Source organism: Homo sapiens, chromosome 20 (genome assembly GCF_000001405.40).
Source record: "Homo sapiens chromosome 20, GRCh38.p14 Primary Assembly".
In the NCBI taxonomy this organism is placed as follows: Eukaryota; Metazoa; Chordata; class Mammalia; order Primates; family Hominidae; genus Homo; species Homo sapiens.
This window is the reverse complement of record NC_000020.11, coordinates 24,306,047-24,323,110: the sequence shown is the minus strand read 5'-3', so window position 1 is coordinate 24,323,110 and position 17,064 is coordinate 24,306,047. Positions and strand designations below refer to the sequence as shown.

Here is a 17,064-nt window from a genome sequence, read left to right as displayed (position 1 = left end):
ACTTATGCTGAAAGTGGGTGCAAGGTGAAGTGTTGGAAGGAAAGACATGAAGAACTTGACCTTCCTGAGGGCAGTGGGGCCCCAAGGATGGGAGGAAATAAATGAATTACATTTATGCCCCTGTCCCGGTTGTCAGGCAGATCATTGTTTTTCCTACACTGGGTAAAACTAAAGTGCAAGGTGTGAAATCATCCCCCTGAACCACACATGCTGTTAACAGAGTTGCTGGGGCTGATGTGCAGGTTCCCTGAACCCTGGCCCATGTCTCTCTCCTCCACCCCACACCTCACATCTGGACCCGCTTCACAGATCTTTGTTCTCCTTAGATTTTTGCAGTAACAGCCACTTGGTTAATGGCCCTGGAGAGAGAGGCTTCTGATAAGTCTGTGAAAGAACTGCCTGCAAAAGGGACTCTAGCAAAAAGAATCACGCAGTTGAGTGTATCCTGTGAAAAATGCAGCCTGACTAGGTATCACTCTTGGCTTAATGCTGCCTTGTTTATTAGACAAACTTACCAGTATTATTATCAAACAATACAAATTAAGGTAACAGTAGTAGAAATGAACAGACTTCATTTGTCAGATGTTTTGTTGTTTGAATGATAATTCACAAATATCCTCTGCAAATTAAGTAACTGGCTCATCTGATTGGGACCTCTATCACATTTTGTGTGCAACGAAAAATCTGTCCCTTATTCAGACACCTGCACTTCGGAACTGAGGAACCAACTGCATAGCTGCCTTGGCAGAACGAAGAGAGGCAAGAGCTGAGCGTGTCCACTTCCATCACTCTATAGATGAGGAAGCTGGAGGCTGGACGAAGGGTGAGGGCTCATGGTCATTAAGTTAATTACAAAGAGATCCAAGGTCAGGGTCTGGACCTCCTCCTGTAACTCACCTCTCACTGCTGTGCTCACTGTGCCTGAAGGGGAAGCAGCCACACCCACCCAGGGTCAGCTGATGATGTCATATCTGCAGCACATCCTGGGTTTTTCCAGAATATGTATTTGTAATAAACTCCTCAAGAGATTGAGACCTTCTTACTGAATTCACTGGCCTTTTTGATGATGTGTTCTTCTCTGCCTGTGAATATCTCTGAATGCAAGAATATCATTCCACATTTCCCATTGCCTTGTGCCCCTCTAAAAACCTCATTGACTGATCCTAGATCAATCCTTGGATCAAGGGAGTATGTTAATTCCATATGACAGACCTTCAGTTATTTCAAGGTGGTTCGTCGGTTCTTCCTACTGCCAAATGTCATCTTCTGAAGGCTAGAGACACCAGTCCTCAAGGCTGGAAATGCCACACTTTAGAAGAAGCTTAGATGTACTTTCTTTCTAGGGAAGGCCCATGATTTACTCCCGTGCATGAGGTATTTGGAATTACAGTTTAGAGATAACATAAAGGGGTGCATGGCAAGATGCCCATGATGCCACAACACCTGGGAAATCCCTAAACTCCTCAATATGGTTACAAGAGAGACATTTCCCAGAACAGGCAAGTGAAGTCTCCTCCTGATAGGAAGGAGCTATTGACCCAATATTTATTTTACATTTTGACTTTTTCTCTCAGAATGTTTCTCATAGAACACGATAATACCTGTTACTATTGCATGTAGAAGAAAGAGTCTGTTGTTAAATCAAAACAAACCTTCAACAAGCTGAGGTTATGTCTAGAGTAAGGAACACCACAGCTGGGATGCAAGGCTTTGTCCAACTCCTATTGCTGAGAAAACGATTGTGAGTGGTCAGTGTCTGGTTTGGGTCTTTGCCTTTTTAAAAGAAATTGGGATGGAGAAGAGAGGAGAGGGGATTAAGGGAGGAACAGACTGACTGATTGAAAGGAGAGTCTGGTACTTATGGGGAAAGGTTAATGGAGTTGAGGCCACATCTCCAGCAGAAAGTGCCGAGGAGGCAGATGAGTAACGGTCTTTAAGGGTACGAAAGGTTATGATGAGGACACTTCACAGTGATTTGCTTCCTCCCTAGAGGAATAGATAGGGAGAAATGGACTAGCATTGTCACAATCACACCAGAAATGTTCAGTTAGAAAAATGAGAATGAACTTATTGACAGTAAAAGCACTTTGATCATTCAACGGGCCTCACAGAGAAGGCTGCAAAACTTGGAGAGGAAAGAACCCATTCCAGATCCTGGAGCAAAAAATGTGCATCCTCAGTCCGCAGCTTCTGGAAGCCTTTGCCACTTTGTGCACATCCCCTCCAGGCACACTGAACTCCCAACAGCCAGCACTTGGTCTCCTAGTCAGAGGCTGCACCATGTTCTGAGGAAGACCCACTTTGTTTGTGCCACAGCCAGCCAGAAGTGCCTGGAAATGCACACTCCTAGAACTTAAACAATGACCGATGGGTGTAGGGACATCAACGCTACAGTTCCCTCACTCCTGACTGGGACAACTCTGAGGTGTAACCTACATTGTCCCTAGAGGTTTCCTGCAAGGTTAAGCCAACTCATTCTCTCTTTCTGGGCTTTGCTTGACATCTTGCTCATGTTAGACTTCCTTCCATTCCCCACTCACTACTGGCTTTCCCTGGGAACTCTTCCTAATTGATCAGCTTCTCATTTTATCTCAACATCCATTCCAAGAGAATCCAACCTAAGACAAAGTATCAATTATTTTTTGCCACATAACAAACTACCCCAAAACATAGTGGCTCAAAACAACCACCATTTACTGAGCTCATGATTCTGCAGTGTGGTGATTTGTGCTGAGCTTAGTGGGAAGACTGCAGTGGACTGTAAAATGACCATGCTACTTTGCAGCTCCTCCTATTAACAAGTAGAATGTTCTTTATTGCTACACTTGAATTTGGGCTAGCGTTGTGACTTGCTTTGGTCAACAGGATATGACGGAACAAGTTTCAAGCTTAGGCCTAAGGGCACTTGCAGTTTCTACGTTGTGCTCTTAGAATCTTATCAATATCTGAACACATCTGAGCTCACCTGCTAGAGAATGAGCGATCCCATGGACAGAAGCATCAGTGATCCCTGCCACCCCAGCCCAGGTCATCCTAAATCATGAGCTCTAGCCAACTGCCCTGCTGACTCCAGATGCATAGGCAAGCCCGGCAGAGATCTACTGAGCTCACCCCAGCCTAACAGAACCACTGGCTACCCAACCCAGCTTGCCACCTTAAATAATAATGTGTAAAATAGATGGCTTTTGTTTTGAGTCACTACAGTTTGGATGGTTTGTTATGCAGCAAAAGCTGACCAATGCAGACACTGACTGTCTACTCTCAACTCTGGATATTCCAGCCTTGATCATAATCCTCCTGATGTACTATGAACCTCTCTGACCAGCACATATTACTTTTTGTTGGCTCTCTGGCATTAGGAGTTTGCAGATAAGTAATGGAAAAGGTAAATGTCTTCATGATGTGAGATCAGGCCCAGATCATCCATTTAATCAGCACATAGGAGCATGCACAGTGCTGGGCACTGTGCTGCCTGTTGGAGTTAGAGAATCACCCTTTGGCCCATGGTTCAGTCTGTTCTTCCTGCGTTTTGTCAGTGTGCATTCAGAGAATCTGTTTAGTGTGCTTTGATTTAGTTTTAGTTTAAAACAGTGGGTCTTACATTTTTCTTAATTTTCTTTCTGACTCAGGCTTTCCTTTTATAATTTTAGACAAATTCTCCCCAGAAAAGTGCACATGGTTAGAAAAAATGGATCAACAGTGTAATTTCAGGGTTTCTGATCTGCCTGGAGTCTATCCATGGACTCTGTAAATCCTCACATTAATAACATCTGCCCTAGAGAATTCAAAGCAGTTAAACAAAAGAAAGCCTAGCCACTAAAACTGTTTCCACAGATGAACTATTTTCATCAGTTTTCCAAAGGACTTAACTGTGAAGAGAGTGTGAAAATTGGAGGCTGTCGAGGGGAATGTGGCTGAGGAAAGATGATGCTGCAGGAGTGCCCCAGGGTGAACAAGCCCATCAGGGAGGCCTGAGTCAGAGGCCCGCGGGGTCCCAGGCTGATCCAGCATCAGCCATCCTGGACCTGCCTCATCTGCCCAGGCAGCATCCTGCCTACCCCCACCCTGGATCCTGGACCGGGCCCCCAGTTGCTCGCATCTGCATGTCTTTGCCTGGGGGTCTCTCAGGATGGCAGTTGTAAGTGCCAGGGAGCCAAGACCCTCCAGGGGCAACCCTCAAACAATGACTGGCAGGAACCTGGGAGCCAATATCCAGCCCCCATCCCTCAGGTGGGAAAACCAGGAGGCAGAGGGTTTCCTGAAGAATCCCAGCGCTGCTGCAGCTGCCGGCAACAGGAAGCCACTTGATCACATGTCCGTCACCGACTGCCTGCCCTGCCCTGTCTCACTTCCTCACACTCCTGCTGCAGTTTCCTGGGAGCACCTCTGAAATAACCTGTGTGTGCTCCTTGTCTCGAGTCTGTTTCTGTTTCTGGGGAACGCTAATGAAGGCAGCGTTTCTCTAGTGTCAGGCATGGTGGCCAACAGGGCCAGGTTGGAGTGATGACACCGGGTTTCCGGGGGCGGGGGGTTGTCTTTTTTTTTTTGAGACAGGGTCTTACTATGTTGGCCAGGCTGTGGGACACTGGCACGTTCATGGCTCACTGGAGCCTCGACCTCCTGGGCTCAAGCATCCTTCCACTTCAGCCTCAGAGTAGCTGGGAACACAGGAATGTGCCACCAAGCCCAGCTAAATTTTTTTTCTATTTTTTTTTTCTGTAGAGATGGGGGTCTCACTCTGTTGCACAGGTTGGTTTTGAACTTCTGGGTTCAAACAATCTTCCTGCTGAGATTGCAGCTGTGATCTCCCAAAGGGCTGAGATTACAGATGTGAGCCACCATGCCCAGACTCCAGAATGCTTTCTTGTTGAAGTGGTTCTCCAGGCAGAGCCGGGATGGGGAGCAGGGCTGAGCTGTTGTCAAGGGCAGGCTGGCTGTTGGCTTGGCCAATGGGCTGAGATTAGCATAGTGTTCTAGAACCTGGGGAAGGGGACCCAAAACCCAATCTACAATGGGAGTCTGAACTGGGGCCACTTGAGGGGGTCTTGTAGAAGAGGAAAACTTGTGGCGCAATGGGATGTCCAGGGACACAGATAGCCAGGTGCTGGGCCTCAGGATGGAATCCAGCCACCCCTGCTGGGTGCGAGCTTTCCCTTTGCTGGTGCCTGGGGGCTTGATGGTGTTAGGGGCTGGATGGTCCAGAGCTTTTAAGTGAAGGCACCTCTGCCTGTTGCAAGAAAGGGCAGTATCTGACAACACCACACTGAAGTGTGTTTTCCTGGTCCTGGAGGAAGTGGGTGGGGTGGAGTTAGAAAGCACAGCAGGTGACTGTCCCACAACCACCTGTTACCATCTGAAGGGGCATTTTGAAGGAGATGGAGTGAATTCTGAGCAGAGGCACTGAAGCACCTGCCTGTGAGGGGGAAGGAAGAGGAGCTCAGGTAGAACCTGAAGAAGTGATGTCCCACAGCAACATATGACCCTTGAGAAGAACGCACGGAGCCAAGAAAAGCAGCTCCTTTCCTCACATAAATACAAGCAGCCCAACCAGGGCAAAGGGCAGGGAGCAAGGCAGAGGAGGAAGGAGATGATCAGAGACGCTTGCACACTTGGAACAAAAGCAAACTGAAAGCGAGAGAGGAAGGAGGTGCAAAAGGCAGAAAGGCACAGGAGATCTGGCACTGTCCTGAGGTCCAGACCATTGACACCTGCTCCAGCCCTGGGTGACTCGAGGACAGGCCTCACTGCACAAATGCTTGAAAACCACTGGGGACCTAGAGGGTGCTCAAGCCTTTATTATATTGAAGAAGAAGGAGAAGCAGCAGCAGCCCCTGTCCACCCTCACAGGCTAGAAATCATATTTGTTCTCCATGATAATTAGTGTGGTTTTTATATCTCTCCAGGTGACACACAGTGACCTTCCTCAGGAGAGTGGAAGCTCTGCAGGGTGAGAATGAAACATGGGTGGTCAGGTGGGCTCTCACATTTACTGGATCACAGATGCTTTCCCTCCTGAAACAGCTGCTGGCCTCACCATTATGTCTCCAATCTAATAATACACTGATGTCTTAATAGCTGATATTTGCCCAAACTCAGCCATTAGGAAATGTCAGTTTGCATCTGATATAATTTATGTGGTTGGTGGTTTCTCTTAGCCTTTATTGAAAATGCTCATGAGTGACTCAGGTGGATAAACAACCAGTCATTGCATTTTCCATGCAGAGCTCTGCCTGTGATGGACACCTTGGTCACCTGCCAGGGGTCAGTCCACTTGGCTGTGAGGGCCTCTCAGGGACCTGCAGCGTTTTGGTGAACTTTAGTGAGGAGTAGGATGCCCACAACCCCTGCCGCAGGAAAGCCCTGATGCCTGATCAGCTGTAAACACACGTCTGTGTCACCCAGCAGTCAGAGCTCAGGGTGCACACCAGGAGGAGCACATCCACACGTCCTGGAGCTCAGACACACACCCTCACTCACATGCACTCAACACAGCATGCACAACCTCATGGGCAACATCATCATGCCCTTCCTGCAGTCCACGGTGGGGCCACATGGTGACACCTGGGTCGTTGGTGGAAGTTAGCAACCATCACATGTTGCACATGGGAGTATGAAGGAAGGGTTGCAGAGAACATCTGCTTTGGAATTAGCCTGAGCTAAGATCAATATTGGATCTGTCATGTTATGTGGCCCCTTTAAGTCACACTGGATTTGCTATATAATTTGGAGTATCTAAGTACTTACATTGCCTGGGCTGGAAATAAAGAGATGTTTATCAAAGAGCACAAACTTTCAGCTATAAGAGGAACAAGTTCTGAGGATTTAATATACAACATGGGTGGTGATTGTGATAATCATTACACAATATATATGTACATCAAATCACATTGCACACCTTGAATATACACTATATTTGTGAATTAAATATTTTAAAATTAAAAATTGAGGAAGAGCTTAGCATACTGCCTTGTTCACTTTTATACGGGACATAACACATGAGTGGGTGACAAAATTAATTAAGTGTATTGTGGCAAACATTTTCAAAAAGTGACAGAATAAAATAAAATATATCAGAGTACATATATGGTCTGCAACTTATGATGTTTCGACTTGCAAATTTTTGATTTTATTATGGTGTGAAACCATTACAATTTGGATATAATGTAGAGTATTCAATAAACTACATGAGAAATAAACTTTATGTTAGATGATTTTGCCCAAATGTAGGCTAATGTAAGTGTTCTCAGCACATTTAAGGTAGGCTAGGCTAAGCTCTGATGTTTGGTAGGTTAAGTATATTAAATGCACTTTTGGCTTATGATGTGTTCAATTTATGATGGGTTTATTGGGATTTACCCCATCATAAGTCAAGAAGCATCTGTGTTTTGAATATAATGAGGCTAAGTATTTGTAGCGTGCTCTATTTTTGAAAATAGCCGCAATAATCTCTTACAGTCCATGTGCTATTCTAGAATGGTACCTCCCTGTTCTGCCATCAAGATGTAAGGTCTATTTCCCTCTCCTTGAATCTGGGCAGACCTGTGATTACTTTGAGCAATAGAATATGCCAGAAGTGATGCAATGATTCCTGAGGCTGGGTTATAAAAACAATGCAGCATCTGCCTTGTCAACAAGAGCCTGGGCTTGGATCCCTGAACAGCCATGTTACAAGTGAGACTACTCTGAGGCAGTCATGCTGTGAGGAAGCCCAGGCCACAAGGAGACACCACATATTGGTGATCCAGTTTGGCCGAGGCATTGAGCCAGCCCAGCCCAGGCACTGGACATGTGAGTGAAGCCATCCACAAACCTTCCAGATTAACCCGTCCACCAGCAGATTACCATTGAATGGCCTCAGTTGATTCCACAAGGAGCAAAATGATTGCTTAGCTAAATGCTGCCTGAATCCTCACCTGAAGAATTCATTAGTATAAAATGCTAATAGCTATTGTAAGTCTACATTTTGGGGTAGCTTTTTACACAATAACAACCAAGCTGGTATCATTTATGATGTGACACAAGCTAGTAGGATTTTTATTTCAGTATGCATATTGAGTTACAAAGTAAAATTCTTTTATTTATTTTTTTGTAGAGATGGGGTCTTGCTATGTTGCCAGGGTAGTCTTGAACTCCTGGTCTTAAGTGATACTCCCACTATCACCTCCCAAAGTGCTAGGATTCCAGGTGTAGGCCACCATGCCTGGCTGTAAAAGTATTCTTTACTGTGTGTCTTGCACTTAAACAAAAGTGTACAAACTACTGGTTTAGCCTAAAATAAATGCTATTATATTTGTGAGTATTATACAGAAAGTTACCTAACCTCTCTGTACCTCTATTTTCTCCTCTGCACAGTGGGGATAATAGGACCTACCTAGCTGGGCTGTTATGAAGGCTAAACGAGGAAACACTTGTAAAGTTCTCAGAACTGTGCCTCGAACAAGGTAAGCCTTCCTGAACGTCATGTAAATAGAGTATGTGAACCCCCAGATGGGGACTTTCTTCATGGCATTGATAAAGGAACTGGGGGTGGCAAAAAATGACAGACTTGCCCAGGACAAGAGTCAGCAGTGGGAGAAACAGGATTCGAGGCTAGATCTTCTGAATGTTTAGTAGGTGTTCTTTGCTGCATTTAGTGGGCTCCCTACTCAATACTGTGATGTCGGGATTGTTGCATTTTACAGCTGTCCACTCACAGCCTGAGGATCGCAGGTCAGAAGCAATGTCTCAGTGCACTGGCATCTTTGCTTTTTGACAGACTGCTCTCTGGGCTTGCAGACCTATACATTTGTGTTATTAGTCTGGCTGATTCCTGCCTAATAAATCCCCTGGTAATCCCTGCCCCACCTGGCTTTAGAGCAGGACATGGCGTGCCCTTGGGTGAACTCTCTCCAGAGTTCGTCAGCACTCTCCCCTCTGGGCCTTGCTGGCTCCTGTGGCATGCTGGAGGTGCTTGCTCTAATGGATTCCCTCTGTCTCACTGAAGCAAGCACCCAAGGAAACTGTGCCAGGGGACTTGGTGCTGGATTAAGGGAAGAAATCAAGTTTCTCTTAATGACAGCAAGTACCTATAACATCTCAACCCAGATCAAGGTGATTTTAGCACCATCAAGCTCAGATGCTAGAAGCAGTACTCACTTAGGGACTGTGTCTAATTTTCAAGTGAGAAACTGAAATAACCTAAAAGTTACACACCCGAGGCTACATTTCATAAGTTCAGCAGAAATGTCTTGTTTGTGCCTCCAGGTTTGGTTTCAACTATCCATTTAGTCCAGTCTTTGAGGTTTGTACCTGAGTTAATCTGCCACTTATGATTTGGACACACACAACTGGGATGAACTCTAAGTCTAGTATCTGGAGAGCAAACCCTAAAGATCCCTGCAATATTGACAAAGAAACCTTCTAGAAACAGAGCCAGAAAAGGAATTTCTTCTGAACACACCGGAGTATGTGTGTTGTGGCTTCCCTGTGAGCACAGCCCACACTGATTTTTGGAAACTGCAGATTTTGGGAAGAGGTAGGGAGAAGAAAGGAGTGGGAATTATCAAGCCACATCAAAGAAGAAGAGAAGAAAATGGCAGTGGAGAGGCCAGGGGTGCCTGTCTGCTACCAGAGCTTAATTAGGCAAGTCCATGTCCTACATTTGTCTGAGATGGACAGGACGAGAAGGGCAGCTCCCAGGTTTTGCAGTGAGGGCTGACTCAGAAGCTAGCCTCCTGCAATGCTCCTTCATGAGGGCAGAGCAGCCTGCTGTCCCACACTGTTTACTTCTGGCCTTCAGAAAATTCCTTTCTGGAGTCACAGCCCAGTGCATTACCACCAGGTTTATTGAAGTCCAGACCTCCAACATCTGCCTCAAAAACACCCGGGGGATTGAAACGTAAAATGTCAAACCAACAAATATGTTCGTTCATAACTTTGTGTAAAGATAGCGACAATACCTGTAACATATTCTTCCCTGCCTTGAAGCTTTGCAGATTTGATATAGAAATCCAGGAGAAAATTCTATGAGAAGAGCTCTTACCATATAATGAAGACAAGACTTGAGCAAGACTTTGTAATTTTCTACTAATCAAAATTCAAAGTATGAGTCTTGACAGAAGCCAAACAAAGCCTCCTGCCTGGAACTCTGGAACTCTTCTCTTTTTGTTCTGAAGCCTTGGACCCATCTTGCCTTTTGCTATGAGTAAAGTTTACCGCAGAGGCTTGGTATCTTAGTTTAGAGTTCACATTTCTGGTTTTCGATGGCTGTAGATCAATCCTAGTGGAAAACTCCACAAAGTGCAGAGAAAGTTGTCCTTGTGAAGTCACCTTGCAGAGGAGGAAAGCGGTCTCTAAATAAGAAATCTATATTCCAGTCTGACAGCTCGTACGGCGTGGGGTATGAATTTCTCCTCTGAAAGTCTGATGGCCATCCTTGTTCTTCCTCAGCAGGGCTGCCTGAGTATCTTTGAGAAATGCCCAAGGGTCCTCTTGAGGAAGGGGATCGTCCATTGGCACCTGGAGCCTTCCATGGAAACTGGTTGGCTGGCTCTCCATTTTACGCTAGAGTCATCTCAGACATCAGTTAGCTACCAAGGCAAGTCGTTAACATGCATGACAATGAATCCAGTCTTGGCAATCATCGTAATTAAGTGTGCACACTGTATCAGGGTGCTGATTAAGTGGCTTCAATTTTATGGGTATGATTCCTAATGATCGTTCTTTTTACTGATTAAGATGCATTAAGCCTCAGAGGACATTGGGGATTCCTATGCACTTGGAAGGAGGAGACTGAAGCCACACAGTGTCTGGAAAGGAAAACCCTTGATTAATCACCAGAGAAGAGGAAAGGAATTTTCTAAGGTGTTTTCTAAGCTGAGTTCATCCCAAAGATGTCAGAGTGCTAGAAAAGAGATGACTCCAAACAAGTCCAACCTGACTATGGCATTTGAGAGTTGAATGTGGCATTGGAGCTTGTTTTGTTTTTGTTTTCCTGAAAAAATTAACCAAGGGAAATTTCAAATTTTTCAGCCTGTCTAAATACGGACAAATGTCCCAAGAAGCTAAAAGCACCAGTATATGCCACCCTTGGTTCCTGTCCTCATCCCTATCCCTGCACAGTGTAGCTTTCACGATTACCAACCAACACCCATCATCTCCTCTAACCATCACCCATGGGCATCCTGCAAGACACATACAAGAAAATGACACCGCATTTCACTTACCTGAAATCAATATAGTACGACTGGAAAAAGAAATAAAGGTTTATCCCTTTGTCCTTCTCATGTTTAAAATACCCATGGACTCATACATGACCCAGAAAAGGGAGCTCACAGCCAAATTACAGAGAGGAGCAGAAGTTTGTCTTGGGTTTTGAGTTTTCTGATGAGTTAATGGAGGTGTGTGGGATGTAGGGTATTTTTAACACTTGAGAAGCCCCCAGCTTTGCTTCATTCTCTGTCTCTCTCTCTCTGTCATAATCACCTCTCTTGCTAAAAGAGAAGCTCACCATCCCATAAGACACCATGCCAGAAGCAGGGATGTCCTCACCCATCACCACCTCCTCTCTAATCTCACTGCCCCACTTCCCCTCCATAACCTGCTCCTCCTCCCCTCCTCTCCCGTCCCCTCCGCTCCGCTCCCTTCCCTTCCCCTTCCCTCTCCTCCCATCCTCTTCCTCACTGTCTTTCTAGCATATCCACTTCTCTATCCCCATTGATGTGACTTTAGCAGGATCCTCATTCACAACTTCAGCTATTGCATTTTCTCCCAACTGGGCTCCTGCTTCTTTTCTTATGGGATCATAATCCCTCCTTCATTCAGCAACCAAGATGAATTTTATGTTGTACAAATATGGTTATATTCACTCCTTGTTTAAAGTAAATGCCTCTTAATTTCCTGGGTATAAAGCAAAAATACATTAGCTTAGCTTAGAAGTCTTCCATGGTCAGCATCTCTCTGCCCCCAGCACTCTCTGACTTCCAGCCATAGAGACATTCCTGCAATGTCCCCATATACTATACCTTCTTGTGTCCCCATGCATTGGACACAGATAGGGCTCCCCATTGCTCTTAGAATAAATGTTCATGTACCTCTACTTTGTGGCACTTAAACTACAGCTGTGCGTTTTTACACTTACCTGTGCATGTGTTTTGCTTCCTTGACTTTCTGTAGACTCAAGAGGGCCGCAGTCTTGTATTGGTGGTGTTTGTTGGTTTGAGTCGTTCCTTACTATGTTATCCCCAAAATTAGCACAACATCTGGCCTATAGTGGAAGCTCAGTAAGTAAATGTTTAAGGAATTAATAAATTTTAGCATCTCTTGAGACTTTTATTGAGCTTGTAATGCATAGTTATAGCATAAATGGTTGACGAATGAAATGGCCAAGCCATCTGGCTAGATGCCAAGGTATAGTGGCTTTGGAATCTGGACCCTGTCTACTCCATCTTCTTGTATTCAATATTCATTCTGATTTTGTGGTAATGTAGAAACTTCTTCTTGTTCCTTGTTCCACGGAACACCCTACCCCAGGGGAAACTGAGGAAAGGGGGAGAGGAGATGGCCCCCACACTCCTGCTGCTTCCTCTGCAATTTTCCTTTTCCCTTCTCAACCCAGCTTTAGCCAGACGTCTGACCTCTGTACCTCAGTGGATCCAACCACCTACCTGATTAGATGAGATGAGGTGGGACAAGGACACGGAAGCCCAAATCAGAAGAGAAATTTCAAGAGCTTTAGAAATGAGGACTTCAACTGTGCAGACTTGGGACTTTTCTGGCTTGAGAGGTGGTATGCTCAGCCATCATTCACTCTCAAGGCACTGCAGATGGTTGGCCCAGCAGAGGCAGACATTACAGCTTCAGGGCTAAGTCCTTAACTCATATTTGCCTCTTGTACTTTGTATTTAGCTTACGTGGAAAATGGATTTTGGAATCATTTGTTTCCTTCCTTGAATTTGCAGGCTAAACTAAAAAACTGCAGGTCATATTTTGACTGGCTGGGGGATGGGCTGGTGAGGATGAGTGGAGGAAATTTCAGCAGGCAATTTGGCAGGTGAGCTGTGGCTTCTGGGGAACATTTGTGCAAGTCTGAGCTTTGTGACAATCCCTCATTGCCTTTCGCCCTAAGTTTCTTTAAATTTATTTCTGTTGCTCCTTAGATACACTTTAGATATAAATAATGTTTGTTCCTTCTCTCTATAGTTCAATATATCATGAATTCTTCCCTGGCTGACTCACCACTCTGAGGTTGACTTCTTATCTAGTTATCACAGATCCACCACCTGCTCCTTTTTCCTACTTAATTCTTTCCATCATTTTTCCTGCAGCTTGTATCTTGACATCTGTCTGGCTCATGCTAGAAACTTCAGTCATCCTTGGTCTGTGATTCGTTCCACGTCCTGTCACTCACCCTCTTCCCCAACCATTCCCAGGCTATGTCCCTTTTTCTCCATACTTTTGCTAGAGTCTCATGATCACTTACTCCCTTGACAGCAAAAGATCCTAACTTGACCCTGAGAGTTCTGCAAGCCAGAAATACCGTCTGTCTCACCTCTGATATATCTCTGGTTTTCATCCCACTGCTTGGAACAGAGTGACTGCTCCAGGTGTATAATTTGACTGAGTTATAAGTCTTCCTTTTTCTGGGTTCATACCCTCACTGCTCTGTTCCACATCGTTAATGACTCCCCATCACCTATAGACTAAAGCCCACACTACCAAACATGGATATACAAGACTTTCATTCATTTGGCCATGGATTAACTTTACATTGTAATATTAATTTTCATCTTCTATCACTCTTATACATAAATTCTCCATTCCAAATACTGATAATTTCTTGTTCTTCCCTAAACCGAAGGAGAGAACTGTTACCAGAAAGGAGTCTTGATCTAGACCCCAAGAGAGGTTTCTTGGATCTCGCACAAGAAAGAATTCAAGGTGAATCCATAGAGTAAAGTGAAAGCAGGTTTATTAAGAAAGTAAAGGAATAAAGAATGGCTACTTCATAGGCAGAGCAGCCCCAAGGGCTGCCAGTTGCCCATTTTTATGGTTATTTCTTGATTATATGCTAAACAAGGGGTGGACTATTGATGAGCTTTCTGGGAAAGGGGGTGAGCAATTCCAGGAACTGAGGATTCCTCCTCTTTTTAGACCATACAGGGTAACTTCTTTATGTTGCCATGGCATCTGTAAATTGTAACTGGTGGGAGTGTTTCTTAGCATGCTAATGCATTATGATTAATATATAATGAATAGTGAGATCGACCAAAGGTCACCTTTTTCACCATCTTGGTTTTGGTGGGTTTTAGCCGGGCTTGTTTACTGCAACCTGTTTTATCAGCAAGCGCTTTGTGACCTGTATCTTGTGCCAACTTCCTATCTCATCCTGTGACTCAGAATGCCTTAACCTCCTAAGAATACAGCCCAGTAGGTCTCAGCCTTATTTTACCTAGCCCCTATTCAAGATGGAGTTTCTCTGGTTCAAATGCCTCTGACAGAACCACTATTTTTAATTCTCTTTTATTTCCTTTTCTTCTTGCTATTTCCTTTGCCTCTTTTCTGCTTCCAAGTCAGTTACTCCTTCCTCTGTTGAAATTCTACTTATTCTTTAAGACACAGTTCAGGTGTCACTTTCTCAAGCAAGTTTTCCATGACCCATTTCCCCCGCCAGGCATTCTCAAGCATTATGCTGACTGAAATCCACAATTCTACGTGGACCTCCCTTTTAGAAGCTAACAGAACATGTCATTATTATTTCATTATATATTACTATTTGTCTTGTCAAAAAGATTGTGATTAAAGTTTGTTTCCTATGCTACTCCCTAATTTTTCAAGTTGACTTGCCTCTTCTCTGTGTCATATTATGACAATAATTTACATTCTTCATGTTATTTTCCTCAAGTATCCATTCTTTAGTGAAAGATCACTCATCCTTCAGTGACAGAGGCACTAGACAAGGTTAACAGGATGTTGAAACTCTGTTTTAGTCTCATCTGAAGGCTCCACATCCTTGCTCTTCAGTACAAGAGATGTTAAGGATGCTGTGTCTTAAAGCAATGTGTATTGCGGACCTCCTAAGAGATTGTGAACTTGTTTTGTCAGTTTAAGCCCATCATCCAGATGTAGGCTATGAAGTAGAAGCAGAAGAATAGGATGACTTTGGAGAGAGTCATCCTATGTGTTGCATGTTCACCTTCACTCCAGGAAGGGAAGGAGAAGGTGAGTTAGTTTCCCATCTGTGTTACCAACTGGACCACCCAGAAATCTGATAGGTATCCTCCAGAGTGTACAGGGCACAGAGATGGGTTCTAACTGTCATAGGAGGAATCTAAATTGAAAGGGTATGGAGATGGCCCTACTTTTGAATCAAGAAGTGTGGCTCTCTGGGAGACAACTGGACTTCCACCATGGCAGGGGAAGGGAACTATTTCCTAAGAATTAAGAGAGATGGTGTAGGACTGCAGGGAAAGAGGAAAGAGAGATGACTAAGGAAAGAGAGATGACCTTCAGAAGCCTGAGGACTGGGAAAGGAGTCAAAAGTGGCCCAGTCACAGTATCTATATGGGAAAAGCTGCAAAATTCCAGTGGTAGAAATTAAAGAAGGTCTAAATATATGGAGAGGTATTCAACATTAATAGGTTGGAAGACTTGAAATTGTCAAGATGCAAATTCTTTCCAACTTGATCTATAGATTCAACATAACCCCAATCAAAATCTCAGAAAGCTATTGTATAGATATTGACAAATTGATTCTAAAATGTATGTGGAAAGTGAAAAGACTCCGAATGGCCATACTGAAGAAGAATAACAAAATCAGGGCCAATTCCCATTACCATTACCTAATTCCAAGACTCACTATAGAGCTACAGTACTCAAGATAGCATGGTGTTGGTGAAAGTATAGACATGTAGATCAATGGAACAGAGTAGACAACCCAGAAATAGATCCACACAAATACTTTCAACTGATCGTTAGCAAAAGAGCAAAGGCAATTCAATGAAGAAAGAAGAATTTTTTTAAAAAAATAGTGCTGGAAAATTTGAATATCCATATTAAAAAATAATTGAGCCTAGACACAGACCTTACACTTTTCACAAACATTAACTCAAAATCAACTGTAGACCTAAATGTAAAGTGCAAAGATATAAAACTTCCAGAAGAAACCATAGCAGAAAGTCTATGTGATATATTGGGTGATGAATTTTTAGATACAAAACGAAAACATAATGCATGAAAGAAAAATTGATAAATTGGACTTGATTAAAATTTAAAAGTCTCTGCTCTGTGAAAGAAACAATTAAAAGAATGAAAATACAAACCACAGACTGGGAGAAAATATTTGCAAAAAACACATCTGATAAAGAATTTATATCCAAATATAAAAAGAGCTTGTAAAATTCATCAATAAGACCCCGATTTTTAAAAATGGGCAAAAGACCTGATGGAGTACCTTATCAAATATGATATACAGATGACAAACACACAGAAAGATGCCCAGCATTATTTGTCACTGGGGAATTACAAATTAAAACAACAGTGAGACACTAATATACCTATTATTACTGGAATGCTAAGATCTAAAAAACCAATAAAACCAACTGATGATAAGAATGTAGAGCAACAAGAACTCTCACTCATTCTGATGGGAATGCAGTAAGCTTGTCAGTTTCTTACAAAGCTAGATTGTCTTACCATATGATTCAGCAATTGCAGTTTTAGGTATTTACCCAGATTATTTGAAAATCATGTCCACGCAAAAATCTGAATGTGAATGTTTCTAGCAACTTTATTCATAGTCACCAAAAGGGAGAAGTAACCAAGATGTTCTTCCAAAGATAAATTAATGAATAAACAAAGTGATATAGTCATACAATGAAATATTATTTAGTAATACAAATAAATGAGCTATTAAGCCATGAAAAGACATATGAGAACCTTAACCAGATATTGCTAAATGAAGGAAGCCAGTTTGAAAAGAGTATACACTCTATGATTCTAAGTATATGACTTTTTGGAAAGGCAAAACTATAGAGACAGTGGAAAGATCAGTGATTTCCATGGATTCAGAGGGAGGAAGAGAGGGTT

General features: G+C 43.6%; 1 long non-coding RNA gene across 8 annotated transcripts in view, besides 1 other annotated feature; it reads left to right on the top strand.

Moving 5' to 3' along the window:
• Positions 1-14,845, top strand: part of LOC105372577 (uncharacterized) — a 43,176-nt gene extending 28,331 nt beyond the window's left edge. Inside the window, exons 1-4 of one of the 8 annotated variants that reach the window (XR_937395.2) lie at positions 4,997-5,140; positions 5,904-5,947; positions 8,353-8,441; positions 9,967-13,169. This is a non-coding gene — a long non-coding RNA (uncharacterized LOC105372577). Of the gene's footprint in view, positions 1-4,996; positions 5,141-5,903; positions 5,973-8,352; positions 8,442-9,243 lie in introns of those variants that run through there. The other 7 variants (XR_937391.3, XR_937398.3, XR_937392.3 and 4 more) reach the window with 7 other exon arrangements.
• Positions 4,095-4,596: an enhancer, noted in NCBI's record as "H3K4me1 hESC enhancer chr20:24299151-24299652 (GRCh37/hg19 assembly coordinates)". NCBI's record gives its function as "activates a minimal SCP1, AML or CMV promoter by ChIP-STARR-seq in naive and primed H9 embryonic stem cells {active_cell/tissue: H9 hESC(naive and primed)}" and the evidence as "EXISTENCE:reporter gene assay evidence [ECO:0000049][PMID:30033119]".
• Positions 14,846-17,064: the final 2,219 nt, after the last annotated feature.